This window comes from Homo sapiens, chromosome 17 (assembly GCF_000001405.40).
Source record: "Homo sapiens chromosome 17, GRCh38.p14 Primary Assembly".
Taxonomy (NCBI): Eukaryota; Metazoa; Chordata; class Mammalia; order Primates; family Hominidae; genus Homo; species Homo sapiens.
In genome coordinates this window covers 77,265,600-77,290,625 of record NC_000017.11, presented here as the reverse complement: position 1 = coordinate 77,290,625, position 25,026 = coordinate 77,265,600, and the positions used below count along the sequence as shown (strand labels likewise).

Below are 25,026 nucleotides of genomic sequence, written 5' to 3'. Positions count from 1 at the left end.
TCGATCTTCTGACCTTGTGATCTGCCCGCCTCGGCCTCTCAAAGTGCTGGGATTACAGGTGTGAGCCACCGCTCCCGGCCCTAAGAATTTATTTTATCCCAGCACTTTGGAGGCTGAGGCGAGTGGATCACGAGGTCAGAAGATTGAGACCATCCTGGCTAACATGGTGAAACCCCGCCTCTACTAAAAAAATACAAAAAATTAGCCGGGCGTGGGGGCGGGTGCCTGTAGTCCCAGCTATGCGGGATGCTGAGGCAGGAGAATGGTGTGAACCCGGGAGGCGGAGCTTGCAGTGAGCGGAGATCGCGCCACTGCACTCCAGCCTGGGCAACAGAGCGAGACTCCATCTCAAAAAAAAAAAAAAAAGAATTTATTTTAAGACAGCAAGCTCTAGGGTTGAAGCCAGTCTCCACCTAGCCCCAGGCCCAAAGCTATAAGCATGGCTACTGTAACATCTTTACTCAGGACACCACCCTTCAGGGGCCCAGACCCACACCATCAAGGAGGAGCGTCCACACCAGCAGCTGGGGAGAGGGTGGTTCCCTACAAGATGCAATGTCCACTCTGAAGAGCCATTATAGTGATAATCATGAAATCCATGCCTGAGATCTAATTTCAAGTGAAAAGAACAGAATTCAACATTCATTCTATGGGGAGTATAAAACTCTGAAAATATACGCCTTTCATAATTAAATCAAACCCTATGTCATGTTCCTGAGGAGACAAGCACTGAATGGAACACAGAAGAAATGCTACAGCCAATGATTGTTGAAGTTTTCCTTTCAATTTCCTGTTCATGTTGTTTGGCAATAAGTAATACAGAAAACTGACAACAAAAAGCAAAAGAGAAAGAAAAGATACAGTGTACAGTTTAGATTGCTTTCCTTAAAAAATTAAATAATAATAATAAAAAGCATAGGCCGGGTGCGGTGGCTCACGCCTGTAATCCCAGCACTTTGGGAGGCCAAGGCGGGCGGATCACCTGAGGTCGGGAGTTCGAGACCAGCCTGACCAACATGGGGACACCCCGTCTGTACTAAAAATACAAAATTAGCCGGGCATGGTGACGCAGGCCTGTAATCCCAGCTACTTGGGAGGCTGAGGCAAGAGAATCGCTTGAACCCGGGAGGTGGAGGTTGCAGTGAGCTGAGATCGCGCCTTTGCACTCCAGCCTGGGCAACAAGAGCGAAACTCCATCTCAAAAAAAAAAAAAAAAAAGCATAAATGCAAGCTGGGCGCGGTAGCTCATGCCTGTAATCCCAGCACTTTGGGAGGCCGGGGCAGGTGGATCACCTGAGGTCAGGAGTTTGAAACCAACCCGGCCAACATGGCGAAACCCCATCTCTACTAAAAATACAAAAATTAGCCAGGCATGGTGGCGCGTGCCTGTAATCCCAGCTATTCAGGAGGCTGAGGCAGGAGAATTGCTTGAACCCAGGAGGCAGAGGTTGCAGTGAGCCAAGATTGAGCCACCACACTCCAGCCTGGGTGACAGAGTGAGACTCCGTCTCAAAAACCAAACCAAACCAAACCAAACAAAACAAAAAAAAGAAGCGGCATAATACAAAGTCCCGGCAGTTAAAGCGTTAACCCCCAGCTACCAGGAAGGCTCTGCTATCCAATGACTCATCGCCCCAGCCAAGGTCAGCCACACCTTGGGTCTCTGATGCTGGAGGCAACATGATGCCAACACTGGCGAGAAATCCACCACCTCCTCCTCCCCGCCCCTCGGTGCCGGCCTCTGTGTGCACTTGCAGCTCTTCCACTACCGGTGCCTCCATGGTGTCTACGCCACCGGCTCACCTCCCAGCAATAACCCGACAGCCCGACACCTCTGTAGACCCTGTGGCTACAGAGCTAAAGTTCCCTGTTATTAGTGGGTTTTGCAGACAACCCTCCAAATCCCTCTGGGTTGAGTTAGTCAAGTCCTTAACAAGCTGGAAGATGACAGGGGTTGGATGTAACCCACTTCCAACTGGCTTGGGTTACATGGACATTATTCCTCTTCTGGGATCTGATTTGGGATGGAAACAGGAGCCATAGTTCATGGGAAGGCTGTGAAAGGAAGCCCCGGCCCCAGGGTGCGGATCAGGTTGATCTGCGGAACAAGGCCCCAGGGGCGGCCCACCCGCCTGCTCTGCCCAGCCCTTCCTGGTAACCACACTCACCCGGGGCCCATCTCAAACCTGGCAGGCAATGCTGCTGCTCCCATCTCAGCCGCTGCCCCAACACGCCTCGCCTGGCCAGGACAGGTGCCCAGGCATGGCATTCAGGGACATCCTCGGCTTCCGGGGCCCAACCCCTGGTTCCCAGGTGCAGCGCTGGGAAAAGCAGAGGGCCCCGGCCATGGCGCAGGCCTCGTCACAGGTCATTTAAGCAGCCTGGGAGGAGCCGGAAAGAGAGCAATGCACCCACCTGGACAGAGACTGAAGCCACATCCCCATTGAGAAAAGATGACACTCCTGCCTGGACCCCTTCTCTGAAACCCCAGGCCGGGGTGGGGTAGGAGTCAGCGAGAGAGTCCAGCGCTCCAAAGGGGACTTTCTGGCCCTCCGTGCCCCCTAACCCAGCACTTCTGGGGACCCACACACTCAGGGCAGAGTGGCCATCCAGGGTTCCTCTCACCCAGACACAAAGGCCACTGAAGGCCCCGGGCCAACACCGCTCTGAGGATGACCAGCGACTTGAGTTCCTGCCAGAGACAGCAGGCAGCCTGGGTCTAAGGGCCGCCCAGTGACTTGAAGCTGGGATCATCTTACATTCCCTGCGCCACTCCTGTTTCCTGTCCTGGAGGTTTTCAGGCTGCCAACAGTCATGCTTTGGAGAACCAGGTCAGATTAGGCTGGGAACAAAGCTCAGCTGTCACAGAGCTGCCGAGAGGCCATTGGCAAGCAGTGCCCAGGAGCCGCCCCTCCTCTGCCAGCAACAGCTCAATGTCTCCCTTCACAGGGGCTGCAAATGGGCCCATGCCCAGGGTGGGGTCAGGGAGATAAAGCAGAGAGAAACTGGGCTGGGAGCAGAGAGTGCCATGCTCTACCCTGGAGACCCAAGGCCAGGCCACCCTGCAGAGCTGGTGCCCAGAGCCTCCAGCGTACAGGAGAGGAGGCAAACAGAACCTGACACTCAGCAGCGCCCGGCAGACGCTTCTGGAATGAATGACCAAATCCACATGGAGAGTTGAAATGGGCTAGGAACCTCAGGGAGACGGGCAGCTCACAGCTCAGCAGGGCCGCTCCAGTAGAGCAGGCCAATGCCAGGCCTCCTGGCAAATTTCCCGGGGCCCAGGCACAACTGTCACATCAGGAAAGGGGCAGGGGTGACCAGCCCATCGGCCACGGGGGCACTTCACTGCTCCCACAGAAGCTCGGCACCCACAGGCCTGGGTGACACACGATCCCCATGCCTGGCATCACGATGGCTGCCCACCAAGTCCCTCCACCCACCAGGACTGACTCCCTTTGGTCAGCGATTCCAGATCACCATGACCTGGCAGTTGCCGTCAGGCCTGCCTGGCTAAGGACTCTCCCGGAGACTGAGCCACTTCACACAGCAAAGTGAGCCATGGGGCCACAGCGCTGTGTGCTGTGTACAAGCCCCGAGGGCTTCACCCAGGGATTGGCACCCACTGATCCCCATAAATCCCTGGCAACCGCCTAGAGCTGGGATGTTTCCAAGGTAATAGCTCCAACAAACAGAGGCGCAGGAACCCAGCGCGTCACTTCCCGCCTCACCCCAAAGGTTCACACCCCTAGGGGCCTGGAGCCTCTCTCTGGAGCCCCTCCTACCCTAAAGCCAGCTGGATCTGCCCAGGAACTGCCATCATCACCCCCTGGCCGGGCCTGCACTGATGTGTACTGAACTCCCCTTATCAGGTCCATCTTAGGCAAACTTCAGAGCCCACGCAACACTGCCTGTGGACAAACACTGGGGCGGAAACAGGGGCCACCTCTAGGTCCCAGTCACATGGGGCTGTCAGGGCTGCCTGGGATGGCAGGAGAGTGTCAGAGGAGGGCAGCCCAAGGACCAGGTAGGGGGTGGGAAGTGTCCCCTTCCATGGGTCCTCAAGTGAGATGTCCTCTGCAAACACCCACCTGGGATCTCCAAGCAGAGGGTTGGCTCCCATGTCACCTGGACCTGGATTCCAGACCACTGCCCCTAAGTGGCAATCCTGGGTCCCCCTGTACCTGTCCTGGCTTGAGCTGGTCACACTTGTGGGGGGTGGTTCCAGGAAGAAGGTGGACTGTCGCAAACGCAATGCTCCGCTGCCAGGTGCATTGCCCTCGGCTATCAGAATCCCTCTGGGCAGGCCGGGGAGATCTGACGGGCAAGTGCCTGCGGTCTGGCGTGAGCGGGCAGGGCAGGTGGCCCCTGCCTGGGCATGCCTTTCTACCTTTGCAACAGACTAGGGAGAGGGCTGGCCCCAGGACTTAGGCTCAGCCAGCTGTCTCACAACTGAGGGGCCTCGGCGGAGGACACAAGTCAGACAGAGCCACAGACTAACCGTACGAGGTGGCTTTTTCTCTCCAGTCCAGGTCCCCTGAATGCGCCAGAGCAGACAAGCTTGGACGTGAGGAGGCAAGAGGCAGCGAGAACAGGCGCGGAGACGGGGCTGGGGGAGAAGAGGAAGAAACCCTGTGCTTGTGCCCTTCCCACGCTCGCCTGTCACCGGGTTAGCTGACTGGGGAAGTGTTCTCTGAGGGTGCAATTCCTTGCCCTTCCCGTAAGTCAGCTCCCGGGGCGCTGGGTGAGGGTGCAGCCCTGTCCACCACGGCGAGCCAGCACACTGAATCACGGCAGAAGCTGCTTCCTGTGTGGGTGCAGCCTCCCTCCCTGCCCAGGACTCAGAAGTCACGACAGCATAGAGCTTTTTAATCGTGGCTGGTGCCCCTTCAGGAATCTCCTGAAAGCCACAGAGAAACTCCAGAGTGGCTGGGCACGGTGGCTCATGCCTGTGATCCCAGCACTTTGGGAGGCTGAGGCGGGTGGATCACCTGAGGTCCGGAGTTCGAGACCAGCCTGGCCAGTATGGTAAAACCCCATCTCTACTAAAAAATACAAAAATTAGCTGGGCACGGTGGCACATGCCTGTAATCCCAGCTACTCAGGAGGCTGAGGCATGAGAATTGCTTGAACCTGGGAGGCAGAGGTTGCAGTGAACCGAGATCGTGCCACTGCACTCCAGCCTGGGCAACAGAGCAAGACTCCATCTCAAAAAAATAAAAAATAAAAAAAGAATCTCCAGAGTAATTCCCAGGTGCCAGTAGGGGTGTGACGCAACCTCAGTCCCGCTTCTGTGGCTCATCGGCCTCGGGTAAGTCCTCCTGCCGCTGCCACCCACAGAGAGTTTCCAGGGGAGCCTGGGAATGACGGCAAGTTCCATGTGACCTAGTATGCAAAGGGAGTCCCAAAACTCAGAACCTAGAGAGCCAGGGCGGGTACAGTGCAGCTGGCTCCAGTGCTGAGGGGCTGGGGGAGAGACCCTGCACCATGCTCTGACCACAGTAAGGGAAGATCATGGAGGCTTCTGGAACGTCCTAGCAATGGCGTAACCCCAGCCTTCTCCATCCTCCTGTCAATGACAATCATGATCATGACAGCAGCTAACAGGTTACAGAGCAGGCATTTCTCAGCTTTTTCAAATATGAACTCGTTTAACCTTTACAACAACATAGCACTGTCCCATTTAACAAATGAGGCAGGCTGGGCGTGGTGGCTCATGCCTGTAATCACAGCACTTTGGGAGGCCAAGGCAGGCAGATCACGAGGTCAGGAGTTCGAGATCAGCCTGACCAACATGGTGAAACCCCATCTCTAGTAAAAATATAAAAATTAGCTGGGCGCAGTGGCACGTTCCTACAATCCCAGCCACTCAGGAGGCTGAGGCAGGAGAATCACTTGAACCTGGGAGGCGGAGGTTGCAGTAAGCTGAGATCATGCCATTGCACTCCAGCCTGGGAGACAGAGTGAGACTCCGTCTCAAAAATAAATAAATAAATAAAATTAAAAAACACCACACACACAAAAAAACAAATGAGGCAAATGAGATGCATGAGGTGAGAACCTTGTGCCACAGGGAGAGGCGCAGCCTGGTGAGATTTAATCCCAAGGGGCTGGCGGCTCTGAGCCCCCAAGTGTAACCACTGGACCACACTGCCTGTAGACTACCACTACCTCCACCCCATTGGAAGGCCGGGTGAGGCAATCGGGAAAGCCTGGAGCAGCAGTGGAGCTGCCAGAGAGAACCTGTCCCCAGTGTCCCCCTGGATCCTGCAGCTGCCCTGTGTGGGCCCTTGCTGCCTTCCGCATTGGAAAAGACCTTCTTACAGATGGGGTCTCATGACGCCACCCAGGCTGGAGTGCCGTGTCTATTTCCAGGCGCTGTCACAGGGCTGCAGCCTTGAACTCCTGGCTTCAAGCGATCCTCCTGTCTCAGCCTCCTGAGTAGCCTCCTGGGCTCAAGCGATCCTCGTGTCTCAGCCTCCTGAGTAGCCTCCTGGGCTCAAGCGATCCTCGTGTCTCAGCCTCCTGAGTAGCTGGGACTTCAAGCGCACCTGGCCAAGTCCCTTTTTATTCTCCACTACTCAAGACTTCTCCTTCCTCAAGGCCCAGCTCAATCTCACCTCCACCTAAAACCTCCGGGGCATTCCTGTAGTATTTGGAGGCTGAACTGCTCAGGAGGGAAGGGTGTTAATGAGCTGGTGTCTCGCCCTCATCCTGACTCCCGGTGAGAATGTAAGTTCTCTGCAGGCAAGGACTATATCTCATTACCATTTCTGTACCCACTCAGACTTGGCCATGTGTGCCCAGCACATAAAGTGTCTTCGATGACTGTCTATAGACCCACGGTACTTGAGATTGCCCCAACACATCCTTCTAAAATCTTTCTCCTTTTCAGAGGCTCACGAATGTTCAAACCAGGTCTACCGGGAACAACATTATGGTCATTCCGTTTATTCTGAAGCCCACATACAGGTCTGGAAGCAATAATCCCGCACAGTCTAGATGAAAAAATAAAGACCTTCCTGTTGTCCTTGGATTGTCAGAGCCTTGGGGGATTTTTAACATCTTTTGCTGCTTTCCTTAATTTCATGGTGTCGATGGCTTGTTGGGGGGTCAGCCTGACTCCTGCGAGTGCCCGTACCCGGAAAAGGGCTGGTGCCAAGACAGCTCCAGGACACTCAGAATGAGGGCAAGAGGCCACCCCCACCATCAGCCCCCTCCAGTCCCACTCCATACAACTGCAACACAGTGACCCAGCACACCTTGGGCCACTGCCAAGCAGGGAGCAAACCAGAAATGGTCTGAGCCCTCCCTTCCCCCATCCTCAGAGGGGCCTGCCCCTTTAGGTAAACACAAGGAGGCACCGAGGCTGCTGTACAAGAGTTGGTTCCTGCTCACTCCACAAACTCTACTTCCACCTACTGCAAAAGGTTCTGTCCTTTTTTTTAAAAAAAAAAAAAAAAAAGAAACCCAGTGAGGGGTGGGGTAGGTGTGTGTGGAGGAGAGGAGAAAAGGACAAGTGATGGTCTCCCCACCTCCCAGTAAGCCGCAGGTGCAGAGACTCCAAGCCTGCCTCAGGGCCCTTCCGGCATCTGTGCAGGAGGGTCTCCGCAGAAAAAACCCAGGACCCACGACCTGGGAGGACCCCGGTCACCCCCACTGTCTGGACCCACCAGTGGGAGGTAAAGTGTAAGAAACCAAGGGCAAAGGGCCCTCCCTGGGCGGGCTAGAGATCCCCTGGAAAGGGCCATGCACCGCGCGATCCCCACAACAATCTCAAGTATTTGGAGCATGTTGGGGAGGAAGCCCCGGTGCCAAAACCAAGCATGTGCCACCTGGAAGCCCGCTCCCGCCCACCAGCACACCAACCCACCCACGCTCCTGACAGAGCTGTGCTCCGGGTGCGTAGAGGGCCATCTTGTTCGCAACAACCGGGTGAAAGTTGAAATTCTAAGCTACTGACCCAGAAGGGTATTTTCGGGGAAGTTCTGAGTAATCCTCTTTGAGACAAGGTACTTTATCACTCATTTTGGTTCCTAAATATGGAAAGCCAGAGGAAACCGACAATGGCCCAAAGGCAGGGGGATGGCCCCGATGACTCCTTCACCTCCAACTAAGGCCCATGATTCTGTTCTCCTATCAATAAAAATTAATTCATGGATCCTTGGCAGGTACCTTTCTATCTGAATGAATTAAAGGAGGGACATTAAACAAACGGTTTCTAGATTTAGAAGAGGAGACGCTATTTATAATTTGAGGACTGAGGAGGACAAAGGATCCTGCCTGCCTGGATCCTTTGGAGAAAACCACAAAGGAAAAAAAAAAGGAAGGAAAAGACAAATAATGAAGATCTGGATTTCTCTTAACCTGCCCTTGTGGCCTCGGTGTGCCCATCTGTGAAATGGAACTTCAGAGTGCCAGAGCGGGAGCCTCTTATGAAATGAAAGCTCCTGAACCGGCTCATGGTGAGGCCCAAGTCAGGCCCCCTTCGCCTACTTAAGGCGGGCCCTGCTAGGGTGGAGTGAGGATGTCAGCCGCGGGCGGCGTCCTGAGCGCAAAACGTGAACCCGAGTCGCCAAGTTTGGGCGCTGCTGGACGGTCCCATCTGGAGGCCGTCCCGTGCCCCACTAAGTAGAGGAGAAACCGAAGAGAATCCGAAGAAAGGATGCTGCGGCCTGGACCACCAGCCCTAGAGGCTGAACCCAAGGACACCCCTCCACCTAGCCCCGACCCCATTCACCCACACAGACGCACAGGGACCCAAAGCACCCGGCCGACCTGGAAAGTCAGCGATTCCTGCGAGGGTGCAAGGGGCGAGGAAGAGGGAGCGTCCCCCAGGGCAGCCCCTCCGACACTCGAGCAAGGGCTGGAGACAGCGCAGGGGACGGTCGGCTCAGGTCGAAAGCGGCCCGACAGCGGCCCTGTCCTGGGAGGAACTCGACCTGCAGTGTGCCCGCCGCGGGGACTCGCTCAGCTCCGGGGGCGCCTCGCCACTCCCGGCCGCAGGCACTCAGGTGAGCAGCGCTGGTCCCGGGACACCGACCCCTCCCCACCCCGGGCGCGAAGCCCACCTGAGTAAGACTTCTTCATGGTGCCTCCGTGGCCGCCGCTCCCAGGAAAGTGTGGCGGCGAGGCAGCGGGGCGCGCGCTCCCAGGGCGCTAATCCTGGGCCGGTAGTAGGAAGGCGGGAAGAGGGGGCGGCCCGCCGTCTGGAGTGCACCGACCGGGCCCCGCCCCGGCCCCGCCCCCGCCCCGCCCCTCCCCGGAGATGCGCATAGAACCCCGGCCCAGCCGGCTGTGGTCCCGCCCCTGACCCGCCCCCTCCCCGCCCCGTGAACGTGCGCGCCGAGCCCCACCCCCGCCCACCCCTGCGCTGCGCTGCACCTGGCGGAGCGGGGCTGGCGGGCGCCGGGCCTGGGAGGGGGCGCCCCCGCGCGGCAGCGCAGACCAGACCAGACCAGGCCAGGCCGGGGGTGGGGGCCGCCTGCGTGGCCCGCCGCGCCCGCAGCTCTGCACCCCCAGCTCCCCGCGCTGGCGCCAATGGCTGGTTCCGGGAGTCGCCGCACTTCCCAGTCCCGAGTCCGGGCGGGGCGGGCCCGGCCAGGTGGAAGCGGGCGGAGGTGCGGGCGCTCCGGGCGGCCCCGCCGGGCGAGGCGGCGGCGCCGGGCACCGCGGCGGCGCCGGGCACAGCCGGGGGTCGGAGCCGGGGTGCCGGCTTAGTGGGCCGGGGTAGGGCGGGACAGGACACCTGTCCTGCTACTTTTCTGGTAATCAAAAGGGCAGAGTGCGTCGATTGAGTTGGAGCCTTAGTTTCCTCACCTGTAAATGGGCGCGTTGGACAGATGATCATTTGTTCTCCCTGCGCTGGGCACCGTGCGCAGCTCGGTGTATCGGTGCAGCGGGGCAGACACAGGGAGCCGCCCTTTACAACTCGGGTAACGCAGGCAGTGGTGAGAGGATGCAAAACTTGCACGGAAGAATTCTCTCTACTTGGATATCCTTAAAGTCTCCACGATAAAGCGGTGTTTCCAACGTACAGAGGAAGAAGTGACTAATTATGACTGGAGGGTGGTGTCAGAGTTTTATTGAGGCGAAATCAAAACAGGGTTTTAAGGAATGAGCAGGAATTAGCCAGGCAGCCAAGGTGATGGAAGGCAGCTGTTCCCGAAAGAGGGAAGGGCGTGGCGGAGCCTGGGAGGCCTGAGGTATCACAGCGAGTGTGGAGAGACAGAGGCAGGGCCGGGCCCTTGCACAGCTGCCAATGGAGGCCGTAGAGGACGAGAGGAAGGCGGGAGGCCAGTTGGGAAGCGCTCGCTAGTTCTGGGTAGGGGCGCAGCATTGCCTTCTCCTGCAGCCCTCCCAAAAATGCACAGGAGGCTGAAAGTGTCACTAACAGCCCCGAAAAATCCTCCTCCTCTTCCCCTCTCCTTTACTCTCCTTGGGGGTCCAAGAAGCATTTTCATTTCCTGCCTGAGTGTGGGAAACTTATATGCATGAGAACGGAGGCCTATGTGGCACCGTGGGTTCGTTCCGGCCCACCTGCTTCCTTTCTTGAGTAATCTGTCCAGCCACAGCCCTGCAGAGGGAGCAGCCCAGCCAGAGGAGTTTCCCCTCACCCCAGGTAGAGCTGATTGGACCGGAGTGGACACTGGACTTCAACTGAGTCCACCCCTTTCCTTATCTGGGGGTTAGAGGCTCAGGAGGCCTCGGGAGGGAAGTGCTGTAAGGGAGGGGAGCAGGGAGTATGGACGAATTGTGAACAGCGTCCTGGATTCTGGGATGTCCACACCCTAACCGCAACCCCCACCCACACGCCCACTCACCGCTTGTACCAGCACCAGCAGATTCCGGCTTAGGCCGTGTCCTGACTTGGCCAGCAAGCACCATGATGACACTGCCCCCAGCCTAGCCATGATGACACTGCCACGAGCCTAATGCCTGGGATTCCCAAAGTCCAGCGGTGTCTCAAGAATCTGGGTTATGGGTGCATTGCTGGCTTTGTCCATTTTACTCAGCACAAGTCAGAGGTGCCCTGGAGCACAGTCACCCTGAGGATGCCAGCCCTGGCTGTTCCCTGGCTTTGGGTAGGTGGGTTCCTCTGCGGATGCTCACGCTTCTGCCTGGGGTCACAATTCACAGGAACCTGGGCACCCAGGACCCAAGGACACCTGCGTGGAGTGATGTTGGACACATCACATGGGTGCCTCCTGTGTGATGGTTCCTGGATATCCGAATTTTCCTTCCGATTCCAAGAAATCAGAAAGAAGGACAAGAGAGAGGGAGGGAAGGCTGGGAATGAGGGTTCTACACATTTTTGAGATGCATGAAGCTTAATCTGTCATGAAATTAGAGTTAAAAAAAAAAAAGAAAAATTAAAGAGATGCACGAAGCTTAATTGTTTAAGCCTCAAATTTTGTTTTTATTTATTTATTTTTATTTTTTATTTTTTGAGAGGGAGTTTTGCCCTCGTCGCCGAGGCTGGAGTGCAATGGTGCGATCTCAGCTCACTGCAACCTCTGCCTCCCAGGTTCAAGTGATTCTCCAGCCTCAGCCTCTTGAGTAGCTGAGATTACAGGTGCCCGCCACACCTGGCTAATTTTTTTTTTTTTGTAATTTTTTTCTTTTTTAGTAGAGACAGGGTTTCACCATGTTGGCCAGGCTGGTCTCAAACTCCTAACCTGAGGTGATCCCCCCGCCTCAGCCTCCCAAAGTGCTGGGATTACAGGTGTGAGCCACCGCACCTGGTTTATTTATTTATTTATGAGACAGAGTCTCCCTCTGTCACCCAGGCTAGAGTGCAGTGGCATGATCTCAGCTCACTACAACGTCCACCTCCCGGATTCAAGCAATTCTCTTGCCTCAGCCTCCCAAGTAGCTGGGATTACAGGCACACGCCACCACAACCGGCTAATTTTTGTATTTTTAGTAGAGACGGGGTTTTGCCATGTTGGCCAGCCTGGTCTCCAACTCCTGACCTCAAGGTGATCCACCTGCCTAGGCCTCCCAAAGTGCTGGGATTACAGGTGTGAGCCACTGCGCCTGGCCTATTTTTTTTTTATTTTTTTAATTTAATTTTTATTTTTTGAGATGGAGTTTTGCTCTTGTCACCCAGGTTGGAGTTTAATGGCATGATCTTGGCTCACTGCAACCTCTGCCTCCCACATTCAAGCGATTCTCCTGCCTCAGCCTCCCAAGTAGCTGGGATTACAGGTGCCTGCTGCCACCAGGCCCGATTAATTTTTGTATTTTTAGTAGAGATGGGGTTTCACCACGTTAGCCAGGCTGGTCTCCAACTCCTGACCTCAAGTGATCTGCCTGCCTTGGCCTCCCAAAGTGCTGGGATTACAGGCATGAGCCACCACACCCGGCCTAAGCATCAAGTTTTAATTGTTTTTCACAGACAACTCTCTAAAACATATGACACAATCCCCTGCCTTGGTGAGAAGAGCATAGCAAACATATGACTCTTTCCCTCCTGGCTCAGGACCGTCACGATGGCACCTTGAACGGTTATCAACGCACACGCCGCCATCTTACTCCTTCGCAAATGTCCCCAGGCTACTGTGCTATCCAATTTTTAAAAATTGTCTTTCAAACACTCTGTTCCTCCTCCTCCTCCTCCTCCTAATTGAGTGCTTATGACCAGTTGTGTAATTTCCCCAATTCTCAGTGCCCACTCCTATGAAAGGGGAGGGCAGTACCCAACCCCCAACTCACACAGCTGGTGTGGTGATTAGAAAGCTAATGGGTCTGACGTGCCTCACTGTGCTCTGGTCACTAAAATATGAAACACATGGCATTGGCTTTAGGCGCAGGCAGTGGGCAGAAGCCTGGAGGAAGTTGGCAAGGGCTTGCAGGAAGGTTAAGAGATGATCCTGGCCCAAAAGTGCATGACCCTGCTACTCGGGAAGTTGAGGCAGGAGGATCACTTGAGCCCAGTAGGTCAAGATCACCCTGGGCAACATAGTGAGATCACATCTTTTTTTTTTTTTTTTTTTTTTTTTTTTGAGACGAAGTCTTGCTCAGTCGCCCAGGCTGGAGTGCAGTGGCGCGATCTCGGCTCACTGCAAGCTCCGCCTCCCGGGTTCACGCCATTCTCCTGCCTCAGCCTCCCGAGTAGCTGGGACTACAGGCGCCCGCCACCACGCCCGGCTCATTTTTTTTTTTTTTTTTTTAGTAGAGACGGGGTTTCACCGTGTTAGCCAGGATGGTCTCGATCACCTGACCTCATGATCCACCCGCCTCGGACTCCCAGAGTGCTGGGATTACAGACGTGAGCCACCATGCCCGACGATCACATCTTTTAAAAAAAAAAAAAAAAAAGAAAAGAAAAAAGAAAGAGGCCGGGTGCAGTGGCTCAGGCCTGTAATCCCAGCACTTTGGGTGGCCAAGGCAGGTGGATCACCTGAGGTCAGGAGTTTAAGACCAGTCTGGCCAACATGGTGAAACCCCATCTCTACTAAAAATAAAGAAATTAGCCGGGCGTGGTGTGGTGTGTCTGCAGTCCCAAGCTACTCAGGAGGCTGAGGCAGGAGAATTGCTTGAACCCGGGAGGCAGAGGTTGCAGTGAGCTGAGATTGAGCCACTGCACTCCAGCCTGGGCGACAGAGCGAGACGCCGTCAAAAAAAAAAGAAAATAAAGAAAATAAAATAAAAAAGGAAAGAGAGAAAGAAAGAGAAAGAAGAAGAGAAGGAGAGAGAGAGAAAAAAAGAAAGGAAGGAAGGAAGAAGGAAGGAAGGAAAGAAAGAAGGAAGGAAGGAAAGAAAAAAGAAAAACGCAAGCTGGGCGCGGTGGCTCAAGCCTGTAATCCTAGCACTTTGGGAGGCTGAGGCGGGTGGATTGCTTGAGCTCAGGAGTTCGAGACCAGCCTGGCCAACATGATGAAACCCTGTCTCTAATAAAAATTAAAACATTAGCTAGATGTGGTGGCTGGCACCTGTAATCCCAGCTACTCGGGAGGCTGAGGCAGAGAATTGCTTCAACCTGCGAGATGGAGGCTGCAATGAGCCAAGATCATGCCACTGCACTCCAGCCTGGGTGACAGAGCGAGACTGCATCTCAAAAAAAAAAAAAAGAAAAAGAAAAAGAAAAAAGAAAATGCTACTGGCTATTGGAGGAAAGGAACCCTTTCTCATGTGGTTGCAGAAGGTTTAATAAAACTGTTGCCTGCCATAGCATAGAAAGTAGACACCGAGCATACCTAGCTGACTTGTTGCTGTAGCTGATGAGTTTTCCAGGCAGGTCGTTGAAGGTGCTCCTGGCTCCTTCTGCCTATAATAAAATGGAAAAGGAGAGAGGGGAACTAGGAGCAAACGATTTCATTTTCCAGTGAAGCTGGGAGGAAATGTAAAGACCGGAACAGGCTTTTCAGCCAGCAAATGATTCTCAAAGTGAGAAAGGGCCTCAGGACAAAGAAGTCCAGAGGGGACTGTAAGATCCTTTATGAAGACCTCAGGGAAAAAAAGGAAAAGTGCCCCATAAACCCTTTCGGACAGACAAAGGCATTCTGAGGACCTTAGCGGCATTCCTTGCGGAGTTTCTCTGTTGAAGAGCAGGTCTTCTCAAATCACAAGGGTCTTTTCTCACTTGAAGCTGGGCGCGGTGGCTCACGCCTGTAATCCCCGCACTTTGGGAGGTGGGGTGGAGAAGAGCTTATCTCAGAAAGCGTTGTAGTGCTAAGGGAAAGAAGCCAACGTGAAAAGGCTGCAGCCTACTGCATGATTCCAACCAGACCATATTCTGGAAACAGCAAAGCTATGAAAACAGTAATCAGGAGCTGGTGCGAGGGAAGGAGGAAGGAATGGATGGTGTGCAAGGGATTTGTGGGGCAGTGAAACTATTCTATATGATGCTGTAATGGTGGATGCCTGACATTATTCATTGGGCAAGACCCATGTCGTGTAAAACGCAGAGTAAAACTGACTGTAAACAGTGGATCTTAGCTAATAATAATGTATTCATATTGGCTCATCGATTGTAACAAATGCACCACATTAATGCAAGATGTTAATGAGCAGGAAAGTTTCGGGGGGGTGAGCGGGGAGAGGAAGTTTTCGGGAATTCTCTGTACTCTCCAGGTAACTTTTTTGTTAACGTACAGCTGCTCCAAAAGAAAACATCTATTCTTTTTTTTAAGTTTTTTGAGGGAGGTTTTTTGTCTAATGGAATGAATTTTATTTTTATTTTATTTTGTTTTTTGAGACAGAATTTCGCTCTTGTTGCCCAGGCTGTGGTGCAATGGTGCAATCTCGGCTCACCGCAACCTCCGCCTCCCAGGTTCAACTGATTCTCCTGCCTCAGCCTCCCGAGTAGCTGGGATTACAGGCATGTGCCACCACACCCGGCTAATTTTGTGTTTTTGGTAGAGACGGGGTTTCTCCATGTTGGTCAGACTGGTCTCGAACTCCTGACCTCAGGTGATCCGCCTGTCTAGGCCTCGCAAAGTGCTGGGATTACAGGTGTGAGCCACTGCGCCTGGCCGGAATGAATTTTAGATTAGTACATAGGAAGTTCCCAAGTTGGGTTTTTTGTTTTGTTTTGTTTTTGAGACAGATCCTCACTCTGTCACCCAGGCTGGAGTTCAGTGGCGTGATCTCAGCTCACTGTGACCTCTGCCTCCCAGGTTCAAGCAATTCTCCTGCCTCAGCCTCCCGAGTAGCTGGATTACAGGCACCCACCACCATGCCCAGCTAATTTTTGTATTTTTAGTAGAGACAGGATTTCACCATGTTGGCCAGGCTGGTCTGGAACTCCTGACCTCAGGTGATCCACCCGCCTCAGTCTCCCAAAGTGCGAGGATTACAGGCGTGAGCCACGGCGCCCAGCCAAGTTTTTAAAGGAATTAATTTCTTGCACTAAATGGGATGAAGACAGGACAAAATGAAAGAGGCTTTTAGAGCCTCAACTTTTAAAGGAAGGAAATGGGCTGAGAGGGCTACTCAGTTGCAAACTCAGTTTTTTAAGAAAAGGGAAGAATAACTCAGGAAGGAGCCACGGGCACGGAGAAAACACCCCCGGGCTTGAAGAGCCCCCACGCCCAGGAGTCTCCTCCTCACCAGGCCTTGGTTTACACAGCTGGATCCTGGACCTCCAGTCTGAGCCCAAAACTAAAGTGGATGAGACTTCAGAAGTCTTGGGATGGGGCAAGTGGACTTCGCACGTGGGAGGGATGTGAGTTGTGGCCTGAAGATGGGCCGTGGCAGAGCAGGTTTTTCAGAACAGCCACAGCAAGATCTCCCATTCCACCCGCTTCTCCACCATGTGACCTTGAAACTCCTCCCACAGGGAGGAACTGTCCAACTGTAACTGACAGAGGAGGCAGAAGTGCCTGCCAAGAATGGAGGGTCTGGTCTGGGGACCAGCTGAAGGCTCATCGGGCTCATACTGCTGGCACCAGGGCTGTCGACCAGGGCACCTACTTGGGGGCTTCCCCACGGTAAGTTGCTTCTAAGATGACTATGCTGATCCTTGCCTCCCGGTACTCATGGCCTCTGTAACTCCTTTCTAAGCAACAGAATACCTCCATGCCGAGGGGCTGTTACTTTCACGATAAGGTTGCAAGAGATTCTCATTTGTCTTTCCAGCAGACTCCCTTCCTTGCTAGCTTTGATAGACTCAGCGGCTATGTTGGGAAGTCCTGCACAGGAGGAGCCCAAGGCTTGTGTCAGAGAAGGGGCTGCAGCTGCTACTGTGTTCTCTGGGCTCCTTGCATTCAGAGCCCGGAGCTACCAAGTGGGAGTCAGACCACCTGAGCCCTCATGTCGTGAGGATGCCCTAGGGACTGTATTAGTCATCTGTAACTGTGTAACAAATGACCACAGATTTCATGGTTTAAAACCACACACGTACTGTGTCACAGTCTCTATGGGCCAGGATTCTGAACGGGGCTTAGCTGGGTCTTCTGTCTCCTCTCAAGCTGGGGTTTCATCTGAAGGCTCAGCTGGGGAAAGATCTGCTTCCAAGCTCATGCAGTACTTGGCAGAATTTCATTTCTTTTTTGTTTGTTTGTTTTGTGTGTGTGTGTGTGTGTGTGTGTGTGTGTGTGACAGAGTTTTGCTCTTGTTGCTCAGGCTGGAGTGCAATGGCGCAATCTTGGCTCACTGCAACCTCTGCCTCCCAGGTTCAAACAATTCTCCTGCCCCAGCCTCCCAAGTAATTGAGACTACAGGCACCCACAACCATGCCTGGCTAATTTTTTGTATTTTTAGTAGAGATGGAGATTCACCACATTGGCCAGGCTGGCCTGGAACGTCTGACCTCAGGTGATCCACCCACCTTGGTCTCCCAAAGTGCTGGGATTACAGACATGAGCCACCGCGCCTGGCCTTGTTTTTTTGTTTGTTTTGTTTTGTTTTTTGTTGTTGTTTTGTTTTGAGACGGAGTTTCACTCTTGTTGCCCAGGCTGGAGTGCAGTGGCGTGATCTCAGCTCACTGCAACCTCTGCCTCCCAGCTTCAAGCAATTCTCCTGCCTCAGCCTCCCGAGTAGCTGGGACTACAGGCACCTGCCATCAGACCTGGCTAATTTTTGTGTTTTTAGTAGATAGGGGGTTTCATCATGTTGGCCAGCCTGCTCTCAAATTCCTGACCTCATGTGATCCGCCTGCCTCGGCCTCCCAAAGTGCTGGGATTACAGGCATGAGGCACCATACCTGGTGCAGAATTTCATTTCTTTAAGTCTTGAAGGGCCAGGTATAGTGGCTCACACCTGTAATCCCAGCATTTTGGGAGGCTGAGGCAGGAGGATAGCTTGAGCTCAGAAGTTTGAGACTAGCCTGGGCAACGTAGTGAGACCCTGTCTCTACACAAAATTTAAAGTTAGCCAGGCACAGCGATGCATGCCTGTAGTCCCAGCTACCCAGGAGGCGGAGGTGGGAAGATTGCTTCAGCCCAGGAGGTTGAGGCTGCAGTGAGCTGTGATTGTACCACTGCACTTCAGCCTGAGTGACAGAGCAAGACCCTATCTCAAAAATAAAATAAAAGTAAATAAAAATAAAAAGGTGGCTCAAAGACAGAGCACCTGAGTTCTTAGCCAGCTAGAAATGGGCTCCTCCTGTGTGGGCCTTCCCAACGTAGCCACTCGGCCTATCAAAGCCAATAAGGAAGGGAGTCTGCTGCCAAGAGGAAAATGAGAATCTCTTGCAACCTGATTGTTGCACAGAGGTATATTCTGTTGCTTAGAAAGGAGCTACAGAGGCTGTGAGTACCAGGAGACAAGGATCACTGCAGTCATCTTAGGATCAACACACCATGGGGAAGCCCCACGTAGGTGCCCTGGTCAGCAGTCCTGATCTTCAAATCTTCCCAGCCCCAGTGCCAGAAGTGTGAGCCGATGAGCCCCAGACGGTCCCCAGAGCAGACCTTCTCACACTGGCAGCAGATGTGAGACCTCCTGAGCCCGCCACTGCCTCTGACACCTGCCTCTGTCTCTGAGCTCTGCCACCTCCGCCTGCCTTTTCTTCTCTTCTGTCAACATTTTTTTTTTTTTGAGACAGAGTCTCACTCTGTCGCCCAGGCTGGAGTGCAGTGGCATGATCTCAACTCACTGCAACCTCTGCCTCCCAGGTTCAAGCAATTCTTCTGCCTCAGCCTCCCGAGTAGCTGGGACTACAGGTGCGTGCCACCACGCCCAGCTAATTTTTGTGTTTTTTGTTTTTTTTTTAGTAGACAGGGGGTTTCACGATATTGGCCAGGCTGGTCTTGAACTCCTGACCTTGTGATCTGCTCACCTCAGCCTCCCAAAATGCTGGGATTACAGGTGTGAGCCACCATGCTCAGCCTCTTCTGTCAACTTCTTTCCAGTCCTTTCCTCTGCCGCTTCCCCAGACTTCCAGGCCTGAATGATTAGACGTGGCTTTAACAGGCAACCAGGGAGATGGTTCCTGTCTTCTGGCTCCAGAGGGGCCCAGACACGCCAGGTCTGTGGCCACCTTTTCATCTTTGACTCAGTCAGCTGCTCTCTGCCTGCTTGGCTCAGCGTCTGCTGCTGACTGTACTCTCACTTTATGGCTGGCCCGGGGGCTTGCACTTGTTAGATGACTGAAGCTTTGCTACATGTGTGAAATTTATGGTGAAGGCGTGGCTACGCAGACCCTCCCATATGCCTGGTGCAAGTGTTCCGTGCTACCACCCTTCCGGAAAGCACTCTGGAAATATCCTCCAGAGCTTTCCAAATGCCCATGTGCTTTGTCCTGGTAATTACATTGCTTTTTCATTTACTGATTCAACATATATTTCTTTTTCTTTTTTTTTTTTTTTTTTTGAGACAAGAATCTCACTCTATCACCCAGGCTGGAGTGCAGTGGCGCCATCTCGGCTCACTGCAACCTCCCCCTCCCAGGTTCAAGCAATTCTCATGCCTCAGCCTCCCTAGTACCTGGGACTACAGGCGCCCGCCACCACACCCGGCTCATTTTTTGGTATTTTTAATAGAGATGGGGTTTCACCATGTTGGCCAGGCTGGTCTTGAACTCCTGACCTCAAGTGATCCACCCACCTCGACCTCCCAAAGTGTTGGGATTACAGCCATGAGCCACCACGCCCGGCCTCAACATATATTTCTTGATTACTCATTATGGGCCCCAGGATGGGGTGCTTATATTTTGATAGGGAAAACAGATGTTGATCAAATAATCTTAGAATAAATCCAAATAAAATGACAAGAGCTGAGATCAGGAATTCAAGACTAGCCTGGCCAACTGGTGAAACCCCATCTCTACTAAAAAATAGAAAAATTAGCTAGGCGTGGTGTCGGGGGCCTGTAATCCCAGCTACTTGGGAGGTGGAGACAGGAGAATCCCTTGAACCCCGGAGGCGGAGGTTGCAGGGAGTGGAGATCACGCCGCCGCACTCTATCCTGGACGACAGAGGGAAACTCTGTCTCAATAAATAAATAAATAACAAGAGCGGTATGGAGTGCTTATACGTTGGTAGGGAGAACAGATGTTGATCAAATAATCATATAATCCAAATAAAATGACAACAGCGGTAAAGGGTAAGTAGGTGCAAGGAGAGAGCAGGGACTCTCCCATGGTGGAGGGCAGGGAAGACCAGGTTGAGATGGGATGATGAGCAAGGATTAACCAGGAAAAACAGAGGGCTGAGGGTGCTGGCGGAGAATGGCCTGTGCAAAGGTCCTGTGGCTGCAAGGAGTGTGGTCCACACAAGGAATGGGAAGAGGGCCCTGGAGGTCAGAGCCCAGAGAGTCTGGAGACATAGTGGAGGAACCAGGCCTTGTAGACACATTAAGGAATTGGATTTTTATATTAAGAGGAGTAGGAAGTCAGAGAAAGTTCTGAGAGGGAAGCAGGGCTAGGCGATCTAATCTGCATTTTGCAATCTTGGTTCTCAGTGAGATGTGGAGTGACCGGACGGACCAGAGTCCGGTTAGGAGTCTAGGTTGTGCTTCAGGCAAGAGGAAATGCTGGCTTGGACCTAGGTTGGGGAAAGGGAGAGATGGGAATGTATTTGAGCAAAATTCCAAAGATAAAATCACCCAGAACTGGGGTTGGGCTGCATCTGGAGGCTGAGCTGGGGCGCGAATCGCCAGGGATGACTCTCAGGATTCCGGCGGGAGCAGCAGGATGGCAGGTGGCACCTTGCAGAGAGAGGACGGGCTGGCTCTGGGCGTGTCGTGTTGTGTGTTCAATGCATCCAAGGGGAACTACCAGGTGGGCGCTGGGATATATGGGTTGGTGTGCAGAGGCAGAGTCTCTGCTGGAAATATAACTCTGTGAGTCATCCAGGTAGAGGGGGGTACTGAGCTGTGGGACGAGATTGCTCAGGGCCCTGCCGTCAGGAAATAGACAGTCCGACCAAAGGTATGCACAAGGGTGTCTGTAGGAGCCCCATTTACAAGACCAAGAAATTGAAAACAAGCAAGTCTTCAATACTAGGTTGAGAGTTAAATAAATAAAAGTTCTCTGACTGGGTGGGAGAGTGTGCTCAACTGTGACAAGTGTCAATGAAAACCAGAGGAACCATCTCGGAACAGGTAGAGATGGTGGTAGCACAACACTGAATGAACTAAAGGCCCCTGAGTTGTTCATTTTCAAATGGTTCATTTTGTGTTATGTGAATTTCACTTTAATAAATTACTTTTTTAAGGCCGGGCGCGGTGGCTCACACCTATAATCCCAGCACTTTGGGAGGCTGCGGCAGGCAGATTGCCTGACGTCAGGAGTTCAAGACCACCCTGGCCCACATGGTCAAACCACGTCTCTACAAAAATATACAAAAATTAGTCGGGCATGGTGGCACGGACCTGTAATCCCAGCTTCTCTGGAGGCTGAGGCTAAAGGATTGCTTGAATCCAGGAGGCAGAGTTTGCAGTGAGCTGAGATCGCACCACTGCGCTCCAGCCCAGGCAACAGAGCAAGACTCCATCTCTAATAAAATAAAATAAAACATTTTTAAAATGAAGGCAACAGGTACTATATGTAAATAAAGATTTTACTTTATTTATTTATTTTGAGACGCAGTTTCACCCTGTCTCCCAGGTTGGAGTGCAGTAGCATGATTTCAACTCGCTGCAAACTCCACCTCTTGGGTTTGAGTGATTCTCCTGCCTCAGCCTCCCAAGTGGCTGGAATTACAGGCACGTGCCACCAGGCCCGGCTAATTTTGGTACTTTTAGTAGAGGCGGGGTTTCACCATGTTGGCCAGGCTGGTCTCAAACTCTTGACTTCAAGTGACCTACCTACCTTGGCCTCCCAAAGTGCTGGGATTACAGGCGTGAGCCACTGTGCCTGGCCGGATTTTGTTCTTGTAGAAAACAGAAACATAAAACATAATAAATGTAAAACATAATAAATGTAAAACATAAAAATACAGGAAGGCAATACACCAAATGTGACTTATTTTCTTCATTGTATTTTTCTCTGTTTTCCATATTTTCTATAATAAACTTACTTTCACATTTTGGAAAAAAAGATATACATGATATATACTGATATGTCCAGGAACATATCCATGTGTGATGAATATATTCATTATATTTTTATCCATGGACACATTTTTTGAAATCAATGTTAGTATATTATTTTATTTATTTATTTTTTTAGACAGGGTCTTGCTGTGTCTCCCAGGCTGGAGTACAGCAGTATGATTATAGCTCACTTCAGCCTCAACCTCCTGGGCTTAAGTGATCCTCCGGCCTCAGCCTCATGAATAGCTGGGACTATAGGTGCCCACCACCACATCTGGGTAATTTGCAAATTTTCTGTAGAGATGGTGTCTCACTCTATTGCCCAGGCTGGTCTGAAACTTCTGGGCTCAAGCCATCCTCCCACTTTGGCCTCCCAAAGTGCTGGGATTACAGGCATGAGCCACTGTGCCTATCTCAGTGTTATTATATACATACACTATATATATCGGGTTCAAGTAATTCTCCTGCCTCAGTCTCCCAAGTAGCTGGGATTACAGGCATGCACCACCACACCTGGCTAATTTTGTATTTTTAGTAGAGAGGGGGTTTCAGGCCAGGCATGGTGGCTCACGCCTGTAATCCTAGCACTTTGGGAGGCCAAGGCGGGTGGATCACTTGAGGTCAAGAGGTTGAGACCAGCCTGGCCAACATGGTGAAACCTCATCCCTACTAAAAATACAAAAATTAGCCGGGTGCAGTAGCTCATGCCTGTAATCCCAGCACTTTGGGAGGCCAAGTCGTGTGGATTGCGAGGTCAGGAGTTCGAGACCAGCCTGACCAACATGGTGAAACCCCGTCTCTACTAAAAATACAAAAATTAGCCAGGCCTGGTGGCACGTGCCTGTAATTCCAGCTACTCAGGAGGCTGAGGCAGGAGAATCGCTTGAACCCAGGAGGCAGAGGTTGCAATAAGCCAAGATCGCACCTTTGCACTCTAGCCTGGGCGACACAGTGAGCGTCTCTCAAAACAAAAACAAAAACAAAATTAGCTGGGCGTGGTGGTGGGCACCTGTAATCTCAGCTACTTAGGAGGCTGAGGCAGAAGGATCACTTGAACCCGGGAGGTGGAGGTTACAGTGAGCCGAGATTGTGCCATCGCACTCCAGCATGGGCAACAGAGCAAAAACTCCATCTCAAAAAAAAAAAAAAAAAAAAAAAAGAGACGGGGTTTCAACATGTTGGTCAGGGTGGTCTCGAACTCCTGACCTCAGATGATCCACCTGCCTCGGCCTTCCAAAGTGCTGCGATTACAGGCGTGAGCCACTGTGCCCAACCAGTGTTATTATACTTTAAAGGGTCTTTTGTTTTATCTTAAATTAATGAAAGCTTTTACAAGTAAACTCACTGTTATTAGGACCTAAAGCAAGTTTCGGTTTGTTTCTGGATTTAGGTGGTTTGGTCTGCAGCCAATTTTCAAGCAGTCTTTCGCCATCCGCTCCTGATGTGCGGTTTCCATGTACGCCTGCATTCTATAGAATATATGATGCAGAGTCTGAGATCACGCAGCTCACACACACTGATTCCCTCCCCACGAGGCAGGGTTCTGGGTCTGTCAGTAACTGAGGCCCACAGAGGCCTGAGCTTCCCCCCAGACCAGGCGAGCCAGGGCGCAGCCTCAAGCCCTGAGGTTCAGGCGCTCCTGGTCCTCCACACCAGGCTTCTGACAGCTGCTGGGCTCCCCCGAAGAGCGCCCCCTTCCTGGATTCATCACAAGCGCATCCTCAGAGAAGGCACTTCCCTCCCTCACCAGCAGCCTGAGCAGGGCATGGCTCCTCCTCATTAACTTGGGGACCACAGATGCTAGAGACACCCCCACTTCCCACCTTCTTTAGCGAATCACTCCACGGGGGGAGCCTGGTGCAGCCGCGCCCCTTGCGTTGCGCCTGCCTGCTGCAGGGTGCCCTCCGTCATGTGCATAGGTGTCAATGTCACACAGAAAAGAGGGCTCTGAGGTCACAAAGTGGCAACAGTTGAACGTGAAACAAACCTTCACAGGCTTCTCTTCATTGCTGGACTTCTCAGAGCCTGTAGGAGGCTCGTGGGGGCTGTGGGTGTCCATAAGGGCTACAGCATGCAGCATTTCCCAAATGTATTGACCCCAGAACCTTTTCATCACAAGGCACCTTGCCAGTTCCACGGGACACCCTTTGGGGAACATAGGCACTGTGGGATGGGGGTGGAGGGGCATCCATCAGCCACCGCAAGGCCACACACTAGAGGTCAGCCAGGTGTCCAACCCCAGCGCCAAATGTAGACTCCTCCCAACCTTGGCCTGGTCCTCCCTGCCTATGTCACCTCCTGCTGGCCTTGCCTGCTGCTCCTCTGTCCCTCCACATCCCTCCTTGCAGGGGGAGGAGCCAGGATGGGCTTTCTGTGAGGAAACTGCCACTCCAGGGTGAGAAGAAGATATGGGACTGGCGTCCTCCCTGACACTTCATCTGTGCCTTTTGCTCCAGGGGAAGAGAGGATCCCTGAGAAACATCAACAGAAAAGCCTGAGGCAAGCTCCCATCTAGCTCCCATCTAGAATCTCATCCTTTAGCTTCCCTCTAGCTCCCATCTAGAATCTCATCCTTTAGCTTCCATCTAGAATCTCATCCTCCAGCTTCCATCTAGAATCTCATCCTTTAGCTTCCATCTAGAATCTCATCCTTTTTTTTTTTTTTTTCTGAGATGGAGTTTTGCTCTTGTTGCCCAGGCTGGAGTGCAGTGGCATGATCTCAGCTCACTGCAACCTCTGCCTCCTGGGTTCAAGCAATTCTCCTGCCTCAGCCGCCTGAGTAGCTGGGACTACAGGCGTGCGCCGCCACGCCCGGCTAATTTTTGTATTTTTTGTAGAGATGGGGTTCCACCATGTTGGCCAGGCTGGTCTCGAACTCCTGACCTCAGGTGATCTGCCCACCTCGGCCTCCCAAAGTTCTGGGATTACAGGTGTGAGCCACCACGCCCAGCCTAGAATCTCACTTAATCTCAGCTTTCCCTCTTACTCGCCTCATGAGCCCTCCGGACCTGCAGGAGGGGCCAGTCACTGCCCTAGTGTCCCTCGTGCATTCCCACTCAGCGCTGCTCAAGCCATCCAGTCCCCGGCATGTTCTTTCTGCGG

At 52.9% G+C, this 25,026-nt stretch overlaps 1 protein-coding gene and 1 long non-coding RNA gene across 4 annotated transcripts in view, besides 8 other annotated features; one reads left to right on the top strand and one right to left on the bottom strand.

The window, feature by feature from the left end:
* Positions 1–9,127, bottom strand: part of SEPTIN9 (septin 9) — a 219,098-nt gene extending 209,971 nt beyond the window's left edge. For 2 of the 3 annotated variants that reach the window (NM_001113491.2, NM_001293695.2), the window contains exon 1: positions 9,072–9,127. In NM_001113491.2, the coding sequence (NP_001106963.1) occupies positions 9,072–9,090 (19 nt within the window). In that variant the 5' untranslated portion in view covers positions 9,091–9,127. Of the gene's footprint in view, positions 1–2,415; positions 2,692–9,071 lie in introns of those variants that run through there. The other variant, NM_001113492.2, reaches the window with a different exon arrangement.
* Positions 3,612–4,811: an enhancer, noted in NCBI's record as "MED14-independent group 3 enhancer chr17:75281897-75283096 (GRCh37/hg19 assembly coordinates)". NCBI's record gives its function as "activates an origin of replication core promoter dependent on BRD2, BRD4, P300/CBP and CDK7 cofactors, and independent of MED14, by STARR-seq in HCT116 cells {active_cell/tissue: HCT116}" and the evidence as "EXISTENCE:reporter gene assay evidence [ECO:0000049][PMID:35650434]".
* Positions 3,612–5,178: a biological region, named in NCBI's record as "MED14-independent group 3 enhancer GRCh37_chr17:75281897-75283096".
* Positions 4,051–4,613: an enhancer, noted in NCBI's record as "H3K27ac-H3K4me1 hESC enhancer chr17:75282095-75282657 (GRCh37/hg19 assembly coordinates)". NCBI's record gives its function as "activates a minimal SCP1, AML or CMV promoter by ChIP-STARR-seq in primed H9 embryonic stem cells {active_cell/tissue: H9 hESC(primed)}" and the evidence as "EXISTENCE:reporter gene assay evidence [ECO:0000049][PMID:30033119]".
* Positions 4,614–5,178: an enhancer, noted in NCBI's record as "H3K27ac-H3K4me1 hESC enhancer chr17:75281530-75282094 (GRCh37/hg19 assembly coordinates)". NCBI's record gives its function as "activates a minimal SCP1, AML or CMV promoter by ChIP-STARR-seq in primed H9 embryonic stem cells {active_cell/tissue: H9 hESC(primed)}" and the evidence as "EXISTENCE:reporter gene assay evidence [ECO:0000049][PMID:30033119]".
* Positions 8,633–8,796: a silencer, noted in NCBI's record as "fragment chr17:75277912-75278075 (GRCh37/hg19 assembly coordinates)". NCBI's record gives its function as "represses an EF-1alpha promoter that drives an FKBP-Casp9 reporter gene in an ReSE screen in HepG2 liver carcinoma cells {active_cell/tissue: HepG2}" and the evidence as "EXISTENCE:reporter gene assay evidence [ECO:0000049][PMID:32094911]".
* On the top strand, positions 8,729–16,842 carry SEPTIN9-DT (SEPTIN9 divergent transcript). The gene is made up of 3 exons (NR_136503.1): positions 8,729–9,014; positions 16,286–16,436; positions 16,585–16,842. It is a non-coding gene; the product is annotated as an SEPTIN9 divergent transcript (long non-coding RNA).
* Positions 10,398–11,045: an enhancer, noted in NCBI's record as "H3K4me1 hESC enhancer chr17:75275663-75276310 (GRCh37/hg19 assembly coordinates)". NCBI's record gives its function as "activates a minimal SCP1, AML or CMV promoter by ChIP-STARR-seq in primed H9 embryonic stem cells {active_cell/tissue: H9 hESC(primed)}" and the evidence as "EXISTENCE:reporter gene assay evidence [ECO:0000049][PMID:30033119]".
* Positions 23,644–24,143: an enhancer, noted in NCBI's record as "H3K4me1 hESC enhancer chr17:75262565-75263064 (GRCh37/hg19 assembly coordinates)". NCBI's record gives its function as "activates a minimal SCP1, AML or CMV promoter by ChIP-STARR-seq in primed H9 embryonic stem cells {active_cell/tissue: H9 hESC(primed)}" and the evidence as "EXISTENCE:reporter gene assay evidence [ECO:0000049][PMID:30033119]".
* Positions 24,144–24,645: an enhancer, noted in NCBI's record as "H3K4me1 hESC enhancer chr17:75262063-75262564 (GRCh37/hg19 assembly coordinates)". NCBI's record gives its function as "activates a minimal SCP1, AML or CMV promoter by ChIP-STARR-seq in primed H9 embryonic stem cells {active_cell/tissue: H9 hESC(primed)}" and the evidence as "EXISTENCE:reporter gene assay evidence [ECO:0000049][PMID:30033119]".